General features: G+C 41.5%; 1 protein-coding gene across 6 annotated transcripts in view, besides 1 other annotated feature; it reads left to right on the top strand.

Annotated features, from left to right (window-relative positions):
* The window catches only part of GLI3 (GLI family zinc finger 3), a 303320-nt gene that overhangs the window by 59809 nt on the left and 229684 nt on the right, over positions 1–13827 (top strand). The gene's annotated exons all lie outside the window — the stretch shown is intronic.
* Positions 10871–11458: an enhancer, noted in NCBI's record as "OCT4-NANOG-H3K4me1 hESC enhancer chr7:42232601-42233188 (GRCh37/hg19 assembly coordinates)". NCBI's record gives its function as "activates a minimal SCP1, AML or CMV promoter by ChIP-STARR-seq in naive H9 embryonic stem cells {active_cell/tissue: H9 hESC(naive)}" and the evidence as "EXISTENCE:reporter gene assay evidence [ECO:0000049][PMID:30033119]".

The following is a 13827-nucleotide window of genomic DNA, read 5'->3' as shown; positions in this document are numbered from 1 at the left end:
ACATCTATAGAGTATGAAGGAAAGTCTCACAGAAGAGGTGAGGAGTTAAATCCTTCACATGTCAATAGTGATGGCAGGGGGAAGACAGGAGTGGGAACTGGGGGCTGGAGAAAGGCATTGTAAGTTGAGAGAGCAGTAGAAGCAAATACTTAAAGCATGAGCATTCTCGGTGGTTTGGGGAAATGGTACCAATCAGGGTAGGTTGCTTGTTGGATAGGCATGGTTTGGGGAGAGGAGGATGGAGGCAGAGAATGTGAATGGAGAGGTATATGAGTCCTATTGGTGGAGGCCCATGAAGGCGATGCTAGACACTTTGGGCTCCATCCTTCATGTGAGTGGGAAGAGCAGAGTGGTGGGATACCATCTGCTTTAAAAACTACCCTTCGGCCCTAGTGGGAAAAATGGTTTGGAGTGGGGAGAATGAATGTGATCAGGAGGCCTGGGAAGAGAGTAATATATATATATTTTGAGATGGAGTCTCACCCCAGGCTGGAGTGCGGTGGCACGATCTCGGCTCATTGCAACCTCCACTTCTTGGGTTCAAGCGATTCTCCTGCCTCAGCATCCCAAGTAGCTGGGATTACAGGCTTGTACCACTACATCCAGCTAACTTTTGTATCTTTAGTAGAGACAGGGTTTCACCATGTTGGCCAGGCTGGTCTCAAACTCCTGGTCTCAAATGATCTGCCTGTCTCGGCCTCCCAAACTGCTGGGATTACAGGCATGAGCCACCATGTCAAGCCTCAAATCAATATTTTAAAGAGATATCTGCAGTGCCATGTTCATTGCAGCCTTATTCACAATGGGCAAGATACAGAATCAACCCATGTCCATGGGCAAATGGAGAAAGAAAATGTGTTATATACATAGTGGCATACTATGCAGCCATTAAAAAGAAGGCAATCCTGTCATTTTTGACAACATGGATGCAACTGGAGGACATTATGTCAAGTGAAATAAGCCAGGCACAGAAAGAAAAATGTCATGTGTTCTCATCATATGTGGGAGGTAAAATTGAAGTAGAGAGTAGAATGGTAGTAGGTAACCAGAGGATGGGGCACTTGGGGGACAGGACTGGGGAGATGTTGGTCAAAGGATACAAAATTACAGTTAGGTAGGAGGAATAAGTTCAACAGAGCTATTGTACGGCATGGTAACTATAGTTAATGACCCTACATTGTATTCTTGAAAAATGCTGAGAGTGGATGTTAAATGTTTTCACCACAAGGATGATAATTATGTGAGGTAATGCACATTCTAATTAAGCAGAGTTAATTGTTCCACAATGTGTGTGTATGTATACTTCAAACATCATGTTTAAATAAATACACACAATTTTTTCTGTCAATTTAAAATAAATAAGTAAACAAACAAATAAATAAAACAATTTGTAGGAGGGAGGAAATCAGAGCCCCCTCGCACTTGTTCTTCAAGACTGGGGTGGGAATGTTCATGCCTCCCATGGTCAGCTCCTCCTTTCCCTAGTTTTTAGCATGAGATTGTGAAGGCTGATATGAATAGAAGAATTGGGTTTAGGAATGGTGAATATTTTGAACTGTCTTTGTGAGGAATGGGAAAAGATGCTGAGTGCATAAGAGTGGGACTTACAGTCATGTTGGGGGCCCCCTGAGGTTGGTGTGGTGGTTTTATGATGACGTCAGTGGGACCCCCGTCCATTCACTGCAGCTTCTAACAGAGCGGAGAAAACAGGAGGCTGTCCTAAGTTAAGGATGGCAGCCTGGGGGCCTGGAGGACACTGGCAAAAGACGATGCATTCACCTGGCTGCTCTCAGCCCATCAGCCTGGTGATGTGCATGCTTGTGAGGGCACTTAGCCATTTATTTGTGCAAGATGGCATTTACGAACATAGCTTTTGTGGACATGAAACCCATAACCTTGCCTTCGTTCTTAGTGATGCTACCTGATCATTGACATAAAATGAATACAATCGATACTGACTACTGCTCTGATATTAATCACTAGTTTTAGTGGAATTGCTGTCTTACATGTTTTTAGAACCAGGAAGCATGTTTAGTGAGTCTGTGTAGTATACTGATTTGCCCTGTGTGTGTGTGAGTGTGTGTGTGTGTGTGTGTGTGTGTGTGTGTGTGTGAGAGAGAGAGAGAGAGAGAGAGAGAGACAGATTCTATGAATTTCAGGTGAGGTCAGATTTTTGGAGAGAACACAGACCAAAGAGGGGCCAATGCCTCTATCTTTGGAATCCCATTATAATTTTCATTTACCATCAGTTTTAAGTATTAAATGTTTTTAAAAAAATGCATTCATGAGCCACATGAAGATGATGGATCAACAATGGACTGCATATATGACAGTTGTCCCATAAGATTATAATACCGTATTTTTTTTTTTTTTTTTTTTGAGACGGAGTCTTGCTCTGTCTCCAGGCTGGAGTGCAGTGGCGTGATCTTGGCTCACTGCGACCTCTGCCTCCTGGGTTCAAGCGATTCTCCTGCCTCAGCCTCCTGAGTAGCTGGGACTACAGGCGCACGCCACCATGCCCAGCTAATTTTTGTATTTTTAGTAGAGACAGGGTTTCACTATGTTGGCCAAGATGGTCTTGATCTCCTGACCTTGTGATCTGCCCGCCTCGGCTTCCCAAAGTGCTAGGATTACAGGTGTGAGCCATGGCGCCCGGCCAATACGGTACTTTTACTGTACTTTTCCTATGTTTAACTATGTTTAGATACACAAATACCATTGTGTTACAGTTGCCTACAGTACTCAGTATAGTAACATGCTATGCAGGTTTGTATCCTGGGAGCAACAGGCTATGCCATACAGCCTAGGTATGTAGTAGGCTCTACTATCTGGGTCCATGTAAATGCACTCCATAATGTTCTCACAACAAAATTGCCTAACGACACATTTCCCAGAATGTGTTCCCATCCTTGCATGACAGTACAGCCCCAAAGTGACTTCTGGTTTCTTTGCGCTAGTGTGTCTGTCTATGTGTATGTGAGGGCTATTCTATATCATGATTTGTGGCCACCTACTAGCTTTGGGTCTTGGAATAAAGTACTTAACCTGTCCCTTAGCTGTGGCAGTAACAGTTTCTACCCGATGGACTGATTCTGTCAATTGCCCAGCAGTTTTGGACATTTATTACAGGAGTCCCTCCTTACCCAAGGTTTCTATTTCTGAGGTTTTAGTTACCCATGGTCAATCATGGTCCAAAAATAAGTAAGTGCAGTACAAGAAAATATTTTCAGAAAGAGACAGAGAGAGAGAGAGATATATCACATTCATATAACTTATTACAGTATATTGTTGTAATTATTCTATTTTATTATTAGTTATTGTTGTTAATCTCTTACTGTGCCTAATCGATAGACTAAACGGTATCGTAAGTATATATTTATAAGAAAAAACTTAGTGTATACAGGATTCAGGACTATCTGTGGTTTCAGGCATCCACTGAAATGTATCTGTGGAGGATAAGGGGGGACTACTGTACTGAATTTTAATATTACTTAAAACTAAATTGCACATAATTTTATTGTTTAAGTCCTAGAGTGTGTCCACTAGGCAGCATTCTGTTCTCCTAGAAATGGTTTTCATGCATTTCAGTCTGTCCTGTGTTTTTGCACAGGCTCAGGTTTAACCAATCCACATATAAATGCCTATTTTTTTTTTCTGAAAAGTTTTGACTAAAGGAGAGTCTTCTGTCTCATGATTTGCCCACAGTGCCCAAGAAGTCGTGAGGGAGCTAGGATAAGACTTGAAGCCTGACCTTCCTTCTCATAACAGGAATTGCCAGACCAGCCTGTCCAAAATGAGAAGCATTTGTTCAGACACAAGAAAACTGTTTTTGCTGGCTTTATTTTTAAAATGATATAATTTATCACTCTTTCTTGTGTGGGGCAAAAATCTGCCTCCCCATCACTTCAACACTGCCTGACCCCTCCTTGCCTGGTGTCCTTCAAAGGCACTTTAAAATAGTGGATACGGGAGGTAGTGGAGCGTTCTCTGGCTTTCTGCATCTACATGAGTTAGTGCTAATTCTTCTTCCGCAAGTACTTACAAATATTTGAAGGATAAGGCCTCAAAGTCTCTTTCCTTCATTCCTTTTACCTTTTTCCTGTCTGAGTTGGCTTTGAATGTTCACTGTCTGTTCACCTGGGCCTGGACATATGGTCCCTTTGGAAAGGATAAAGTGGGCTGCTTGGCATGGTGGATACACCATAGAGCAAACTATTCCTGTTAATGGGATAGATTGAATTAGGAAACCAGGTTTCACAGCTGTTTGACTCTCCGTGACCTCCATGACGGAAGGCGATATCCTAGGTATTCTTTCCTACCTGCTGCCAAGTCTTATTTCTGCCATTCTTTGCTGAAAATGACTTGAGTAGTAATTGTTTGGCCTTAGGTATAGGTCCTTTTTTGAGACAGAGTTTTGCTGTTGTTGTCCAGGCTGGAATGCAGTGGCATGATCTCAGTTCACTGCAACCTCCGCCTCCCGGATTCAAGCAATTCTTCTGCCTCAGCCTCCCTAGTAGCTGGGACTGCAGGTGCCCACCACCATGCCTGGCTAATTTTTGTATTTTTAGTAGAGACGGGGTTTCACCATGTAGGCCAGGCTGGTCTCGAACTCCTGACCTTATGTGATCCGCCTGCCTCGACCTCGCAAAGTGCTGGGATTACAGGTGTGAGCCACCACACCTGGCCAGGTATAGGTCTTTATATTTATCTTTATTAAATATCTTCTCCTTGGCCTCAGCCCATCATCACAGGATAAATCCGATAGGACATGGCTCCTGCCCTCAAAGAGCTCACCATGTTGTCCAGCTATTAGGCTAAGGTGAAAGGAGAGGACACACGTGTGCTCACACACATACACGCACATATATACAGTCTTTTGTTCACCTTCTACTTTTGCATGACAACCATTGCATATAAAAACTCACTGTAAAAACGAAAGCAGTTGAGGTAGAGCTGTCTGCCCCAGCTGGGACTGTAACCTGCTTGGTGAGACAGGGGAACTGGAAGGGGAGTCCTGCTTGTGTGCCCGTACTCTGGTTTTCTGCCTGTGTGTATTGAGGTAAATCAGAGTTCTAACGGGCTTTTAATGTGCTTTCTGTAAACTTATTAGAAATAGATATCTTGCCTGATGCCTGTTATTTACCTTGCATACTAATGTCTGTGGATCAACAATGGAAAATTTTCATCTGCTCCAAAGCAGGCTAGAGGCCTGAAAATCATTTTCAGAAATTTTAGAAATGTTAGTAACCCAGCTTTGCGGTGAGTAGCTAAAACCACATCTAACATTTGGATCCAGCTTTGTGCGTTTTCAAAGCCCTGCTGCTTCTTGCATGTCTAACTGGCATTTTTATAACTCTGTTCCTAGTATTCTCAGTGTATTCTTCTTTTGTTTCTCGTTGTTAACTGACTGCTTTATAGATGCCATTTGTTATCTATCATCATAATAAATTTTGGGGAAAAAATGCCTTGTCATTTTAGTTGGCAGTGAAATTGTCCCAAGTCTTTTCTTTTTAGTTAAAAAAAAAAAAAAGAAACTTTTTCTTAGAGTTTGAGTATTTTAAGTTATGTGTTTTTGACACCATTAATTATGTCTCATCTGGTTGTTTTTAAAGTGCCACCATCTAACATTTTTTTTCTGCAAGAGAGTTAATCTGTGTGTGCCGCCTGTGTGTTTGTGTGTGTGTGTGTATGTGTGTGTGTGCATATGCATCTCAAGGAGGTATCAAAGTTGCGCCCTAGAGGGAAGTACTGATTTTTAAAAATTTTAGATACTACATTAATCCCTTAAGGGAAGTTCTACAGTCTTGATACCTTTAGGAAGGTCACAGCCATTTGCCTAGAAGGCCCTGATTCCAGGTCTTGCCAAACCACCTTCAGATGAGGTAGAGGGTGTTTGGAAAATAAACAGAACTTGTCCTGGCCTGTGAGTACAGTCATGCAGTCCTCCCACATCCCCGGAGCTCAGCATCCCCAGGATTGGCTCTGCAACGGAGATCTCAGGACGGCTCCTCAGGCAAGCAGTGGAGTTGGGAAAGCTCACCTCATGGTGAGTGTTTTCTCGCTTGTGCTCCTGGATCCTTCTCACTCTCCAGCCTCAGACACTTGACTGCCTCTCTGAAGCTCCGAACCTGCCCTGGCCCAGGGCTTCCCGTCACATTTCCCTTCATTTTTCCTTTAAGGAACCAATCACTCAATGCAGTTATTCCATTTTTTGCACATTTGCGTGTTTACTTTCTGTCTCTGTGCAGAATGTAAGAACCATGAGCCTGTCCTGTGTCCTTCACATAGTGTCTCAGTGCTTGGAACAGGGGCCGCCACAGTGCAGGGGCTCAATAAATATTTGTGGAATGAATGAGTAGGTATAAAAATGACCTTAAGCCACACCTGGAAGAATTTAGGATAATTTTTACTCCCTTCAGGGAATAAAATGCTCCAGTCTAGCTTTGGGTTAAGATGCGTTTGCAGAGTAGATGCTTGGGCCATTTATTTGGGGCGGCCACACCTATATGTACCCGAATCATGATTCTCTGCTCCCTGCCTCCAGTCTGATTCACCATCTTTGACTGGTTCCCTTTAAACACATCAACGTGGGCTTCCTGAAGGTTATGTAGAGCGAGAGCCTTGCGTTAACGTGGACTGAATTTTCAGGGATTTGCACAGCTGCTGTGACGCCCAGACCATTGTTTCAGTCTCAATGCATGAGCAGGCGCTGACTCTCCTGTCTGGGGTAGCTAAGCCCGACACTGCTTTTAGGCCTGTGAGTAGCGAACTGTACCTCCCGCTGACCGGAACATAGCAAAGTGGTGAATTTCAGGTGACAAAGGCCCCCATCCTTCTCTGTACTGAGTAAGGGCTCCGTGCTCCAGTAGCACGACATTTCATTTGGTTTTCAAGTTACGTAATGAAGAGGAATTCAGAGTGTGCTTGAACATATGGCCCCAAGGCCATCCAGTGGTCAACTCCCCCTGCTCTCTAAGAGCAAGTTGTTTTAACTGTGATTGTGTTAGTCAGAGGATTAAAATAAGAAGAGGATGCCCAAGTTAATATCCTTGCATTTCTCTAGAAAGGGACCATAGTGTCAGAACTCTGTAACTTCTGCCGGGGCATCTTGGTATCCACAAGGTGAGGCCTATTGGTTGGTATTGGTGTATTAAATAAAGCCTAAAAATGGAGTGATTTTTATGTCATTACTCTTAGCTGCATAGATCTTGGATAGCTGTTGATAGGTTGTGAAGACTTGATTTTTCTAGGGACCCTGGGAAAAGCCGATTAAACTTGATGACGTTAAGAGGGACACATATAGTAGAGAAAAGCAGTCAGTAACGGGGGTCCTGCAGACAGCCAGACTCGGATGTGAGTTCAGGTCCTGCCCTAAGTATCAGGGGCCAGGAAGGCCTAAGTCAGGGCTACATTGTAGGCCTCAGTTTCCTTATTTGTAAAATCCAGAGGATAAAACTTCTTGAAGGGTTGCCATCAGGAGTAATAGAAATGAAGCACATGATGTATACACGACATTGTCGATTCCCTGTCCATGTCCTTTCTGTTGAGAAATACTACTTGATGGCTTCTTTACCATTTTGTTCCATAAGTAAACATGCTGCCAACCAATATTCAGATACATTTCCTTTTCTTCTTTTATCCTTTCTGCTTTCCTTCCCTTCTTTTTCTTTCCCTCTTGATTAGAAAGGTCCAGCATTTTTTAACATCTCAAGTGAGACATGAAACGGCTTTGAAGATGATCTCTTGTCAAGTGTACCAACAGAGATTTTAGAGGAAATTTGGAATCTTCATGTCAGAAGCAGTGTTGTCTTCACCAGGTTCATAAGGTGGAACTAAGATAAACTTATAGTGTGAACTTTAAGTAACAAAGGTGGTGACCTCTTTAAAAATCTATATAAATTTAATCTTTAATGCTTTAAAAGGGGATGCTGAAGGATGCTTTTGTGTAATATATTTTTTGGTGTTCTATTTACACGTAGATTTTTAAAAGATCTTTTTTGGGAGGTACATCTTCTGCAATGCAACGTTAATCAGGACGCCTTTGTAGGTAGAGAAAATATTTAGTCTCCTGTAAAGCTGGCCCCTCCCATCCACATTTTCTGCAGCTCTTATTTAACACTGGTGAGAATTAATAGTTGAAATTCAAAGAGCTGACTGACATTCTCTAGCCTAGATAATCCAACTATGTTTCCTTACCACTTTCTGCTAAAAGAGATTTACGATGTACCTGCATTGAGAGGTAGGTCCCTTTAAAAGATATTTCCCATTTTGTAGGACCATGAAAATGTCTTTAATCATGAGTAAATGAAGAGAGCCAGCATTGTCTTCTGAAGAATCTTGGGGATCCACCTTATTTATTTATGTACTGTTGGATATTAGTGAGGATAGGGGAGGCTGTTTTTGCTTTTCTCCCCATTAATTTTTGTGTTTAACGTTGTTTACCTTATTGGACACACTCCACCTGCACAACTTGGCAACAAAGTCATGTATGAAAAATGATCAAAAAAGGAATTACATTTAATTGTAGCATTCTAGTTAGAGCCAAGATACATAGAAACTGACACACTGTGTCTGCTCATTTGGCCCTTCTATCCTGCCAGAGGAAGATAGCAAACCAGATTTATTGAATACTTACTCATCTGTCCATCCACCCATTAATTCATGCATTCAGTAGGTATTTTTCATGTATGTCCTATGTGCCAATACTGTGCTAAGTACTGAGGGAGTGAATTAAACAAATAATTTCTGCCCTTAGGGAATAGATGGTCTGGTGGTGAAGCTTGATTATTAAATAAGCTATACTAATAAATTGTGATGATTGCCGCAATAGAGCAACACTGCAGGGATATGAGAGGACCTAGTGGGGGCACTGGCACCATTGGGAACAGAGCTGGGCATCTGGGGACATTTCCTGGAAGAAGAGGTATGCAAGCTGAAACTTATGAAAGAATCAGAAAAAGCACTGTAAAAACAGATGTGAGGAGGCAGGTACAAAGGGAGGTTATGTTCCAGACAAACGGGGTTGTTGGGCAGACTTTCCAGAGGTAAAAGGGAACCTTGTATATCAAGCAATTGAAATCACCTTACTGGGACTGGGGAATGGAAGTGGGAGGTGGTATGTTTTGACGAAGCTGGCTAAATAGAGTCTAGCTTATGAATGCCTAAGAAGCCCTGTTTCATTTTATCCTTAAGGCAGACATGACAGTGTTCAAGGATGGGAGATAGGTTTGTATTGGTGTTATATGACTCAAGCTACAGTGTATGTAATAGGTTAGTGGGGCAACACAGAAGACAGGAGACCATTAGGAGGCTACTTCATTAACTCAAGTGCAGACTGGTGATGGCTTAGACTTCATTGGTGGCAGTGGGGGTGAGATAAGTTGACGCATTAGAGGCCAGGCACAGTGGCTCATGCCTGTAATCCCAGCGCTTTGGGAGGCCGAGGTGGGCAGATCACTTGAGGTCAGGAGTTTGAGAACACCCTGACCAACATGGTGAAACCCTGTCTCTACTAAAAATAAAAAAATTAGCCAGACCTGGTGGTGGGTGCCTGTAATCCCAGTTACTCGGGAGGCTGAGGCAGGAGAATCGCTTGAACCTGGGAGACAGAGGTTGCAGTGAGCCGAGATCATGCCACTGCACTCCAGCCTGGGTGACAGGTGACAGAGTGAAACTCCGACTCCAAAAAAAAAAAAAAAAAGAGACAGAGAGAGAAGTTGATGCATTAGAGACATGTTAGTTTAAAATTGACAGGGCTTAGTAGGACTCTGGGGATGGAGGAAGGAGAGTCAAAGATGCTACCTGGTTCTCTAGCTAGGGCTTCATGGGTAGATGGAATGCCGTTCGCTAAGACAGACGGGAGTAGAGCAGATTTAGAGACAATGATGACCCCAAATTTGTCAGGTTAAGCTGGAGGGCATCCAAGTGGCTGGATATAAAGCTCAGAAACTTAGAAAAGAGACTTGAGTTGGAACTGTTGATGTTAATTGGGAAAGGATGAAGTCCAAGAAGCAGAGCCAGAAAAGTTGGATGTAGGCCTGAACCCCTTGGGACAACAATGCCGAAAGCAGATAGAGCAAAAAGTGCTGCCTCCTGGGAGCTTGGCTAACTGAGAATATGGTGACTCTTCCTAGACTATACACATTAAAGTTTGGCCCTGTCCTTTCTTAATGTAAATATTGATGAGTCTGTTTCATTAATTAATTATCCTCTAAGCTTATTGTCCTCATTTTGATGTGGTCTGTGTACCTATGATGAGGTTGATCAATACTGGGACAAATAGAGTTGGTGTGAGCTGAAAGGTTTTTCTGCAAGCAGTTTGCTGTATGAAATGGATATGGGCTGGGAATAGGGGCAAGGAACTGTCCTTCAGGCATTTTTACAATACAAAAATCGATACTATCATCATGGGCAAAAAAGTAAAAGCGAAAGTCCACAGGAAATGTACATACTGACTTACATTATTTGCTATTTTTGTCCTTCTGGAGAGGGAGGGAGTACGTTTTCAGGGGACGGAGGAGGGGAGCTTTAGCGGTATCTGTTTTATTTTCTTTAAAGTTATCTGAGGCAAATATGGGAACATGCTAACATTCCTTAAATCTGAGTTGTAGGTAACGTGGATAACTAGCATGTCCTTTTTAGTACTTTTCTGTATGTTGGAATATTTCGTAATCAAGAGTTATTTTTTAAAGAAATAAAAATAAGATGGGATGGGGTCTGTGCTGACTGCCTGTTTGATTTATATCCAGGAAACCATGAGAAAACCACAGGTAATATTGAGTTAAAAAGGAGCTGCATTCAGAAACCAGGCCTTGGGTGGATGTGGGTGTTCAGATAGTTCTTCATCAAAGTCATAAAACACAAAAACCTCTGCTCCTTGCTGGGCATGGGAGAAAACGTCCCACCTGAGAACAAATTAATTTTATGTGGAGACTTTTAATTTTCTCTCACCTTTTGCTACCAATAGAATTCCTGAGTAATTTGAGTCAGGATTTTTTTTTTTCTTGGAACTCTAGATCAAAGGTGTGTCCTTCCGAGCTCAGGCAGAGTGTGTTCCTGGAGGCCAGGCTTTCACAGGCAGGAGGAAAGGGAGAGCAGCTCTCTGGGTGGAGGAGATAGAAGCTTCCTCGAGGGATTTTTTTAAACCCCTTTTGAATGGGCTCATTGTTTATAAGAACAGCTCCTTAATGGAAAAACAAAAAGGCAAGAGGGTCTGTAATGTGCTCTCGGCTTTCCTTTGCTCAGCTTCATTGTTTATTTGATTTATCAAGTCTCAAGTAGTTGTGCCTCTCTGTGACCTTCCTTGAGCTGTTTCTCTAGAGTATCCATTTACTTTATTTAGAAACATAATATTTAAAAACTCTGGAGCTGAGTCAAAAAATCGTCACCTTTTTGATGTGGTCGTTTCCCCCCTTTTTTGAAACCCTAAACTTGCTGGGGCCATCAAAGCCCTGGATTGCAGTCTCTTAATCATCAAGTCTTTCTGGGTGCTGGGCCCCTGGGGCCTGTGGTCTGTGCAAGGCTGGAGACAGGCTGGCCTCAGGTCCTGCTGGTTCTCGTTGCCTGTTTGCACGTAATTAGAGGACAAGATGCTAGATAATTTGGTGCTAAGTGGTAGAGAAGGGACTGCCAAAGGCACGAATTCAAGGTGGTGCTCTAAGGGGGTGGCCCTGAAGTGGACCCCAAGGTATGCTTAAGCAGAGATTAGGAGGCCTTCCCCTCCTGTTTTAACACAGCTGCAGAATGATTCCTGAACCTTGATTTTCCAGATTAAACATTTTCAACAGAAGAAAGAATGTTGTAAAATTAGAGTTTGTTTTTCACATTTATCATCCTCTTTCCAGCGCCCCCATCTCTCTTTGGTTCTTTTTTGTTTTGTTAGACTTTTTATGATAAGGACTTGTTAAAGAAAGTTTGAAGGCCAAAGAGTAGATGTCAAATATAATTTCATCACTTTAATACATGAGCTGTTTTAAATTTTAGCATCTTTTCTTTTGTCTTTATCTATACCTTGTCTCAGGTTTTGTTGGTTCTTACGTATTTTATTTTTCTTAAAACTAAGGAGCCACCAAAGGTGTAGGCAGAACTCTGTTAGGAAGCTGATGGTCAGGAAGAGATGCTGCATGGACCCAAGTGTGGAGATTCCAGTGACTAGCATCTTAGAGGACATTTTTGTATCTATGATTGCAATTTCTTGGCTGGCTACTCACATTTTTACTAGATGAACTTTAGAGTCACCTCATTAAACTCCGCCTCACTCCAAGCAAAACACAGCATCAACAAAAATAAATGCTATCTCTATAGATTGCGATTGGAATTGTGTTAAATCTATTATTTTTCAAGGGGATTGACATTTTTATAAGGTACAATTTTCCTATTGTGAAATATGACATGTCTCTGTTCAAATAGGATTTTTTTTTTCTGTGATTGTAGAAGTTTAAATTTTTTCATGTTTTTGCATGGGTCGCATGTCTTTCTTGGCTATTGTTTGGTTTATTCTTGGCAGTTTAGCTTGTATGACCTTTTGGCTTAATTGGGAGCAGTATGGTAAAATGGATTCTCATGAGGACTCTGCATTCACACTGCCAGAACCTACTACTGGTTCTGTTGTGGCTACCAGTGAGACTTCGGGCAGGATATTTAATTCTTCCAAGTCTTGGTTTTCTCACCTTTAAAAGGTGGACAGTAATGGTATCTACTTCATAGGGTTATTGTGAAAAGTAAGTGAGTTAATATGTTAAGGGCTTAACACTGTTTCTGGCAGTTAGTATGTGTTCAAAAAATATTATATATATATATATATATTTTTTGAAACGGAGTTTCGCTCTTGTTGCCCAGGCTGGAGTGCAGTGGTGTGATCTCGGCACCGCAACGTCTGCCTCCCGAGTTCAAGCGATTCTCCTGCCTCAGCGTCCCGAGTAGCTGGGATTACAGGCATGCACCAACATGCCCAGCTAATTTTGTATTTTTAGTAGAGATGGGGCTTCTCCATGTTGGTCAGGCTGGCCTTGAACTCCCAACCTCAGGTTATCTGCCCGCCTCCCAAAGGATGAATCAATGAATTCAATGGATCAATGGATTCATTGAATGAATCCTTGCCTGGGATTATAGGCGAGAGCCACCACGGCCGGCTATTATTATCTATTTTTATTGACTGGTAATTGCTGGTGAACAGAAAAGCTATGGATTTCTGCATGTTTATTTTCAACTTTATGGCTATACTAAATGTTTTATTTGTCTTATCGTTTTTCTGTTACATCTTCTGTGCTTTCCAGATTAGTCTATAATACTATCTGCCAATAATAATATTTTTATTTTCCTTTCAGTTGCTGTATAGTGTATTTCTGTTTTATGTAACATTGAACTGGCTTCAACTTCCTGGATAATAGTGATTAATAATGACCATAACTATCTTGGCTGTTACTTTAATATTATTTTTTTTATCAGGTTAAGGAAATGTCTTTCTAGTTTGGGTTTCATTCTTTTTTTTAAAAAAAGTATTAAATTTTATCAATTACTTTTTATCATCTCTTGCTTTTATGATATATAATTTTTCTCCTTTGACCTATTGATGATCTTTGTATGTTTTTTCATAATATTTCTAATCATGTTTTCTGGTATAAGGTCTATTTGATTCTAGACTTTGGTATAACTTGATATGCTAGTATTGTATTTAGTATCTTAGTATTTTTGCTGTGTGTCCATACATAGTTTTGACTTTTAGTTTTTCTTTTTTGTCCTCACAATACTAGATTTGGTATTGAGATTGCATTTGTTTTCAAAATGTATTGCAATTTTTTCCATATGTCTTAATCTAGAAAAGTTTTC

Source organism: Homo sapiens, chromosome 7 (assembly GCF_000001405.40).
Source record: "Homo sapiens chromosome 7, GRCh38.p14 Primary Assembly".
Lineage (NCBI taxonomy): Eukaryota > Metazoa > Chordata > Mammalia > Primates > Hominidae > Homo > Homo sapiens.
Note: the sequence above shows the minus strand (reverse complement) of the source record. Positions and strands in the feature narration are given on the sequence as shown.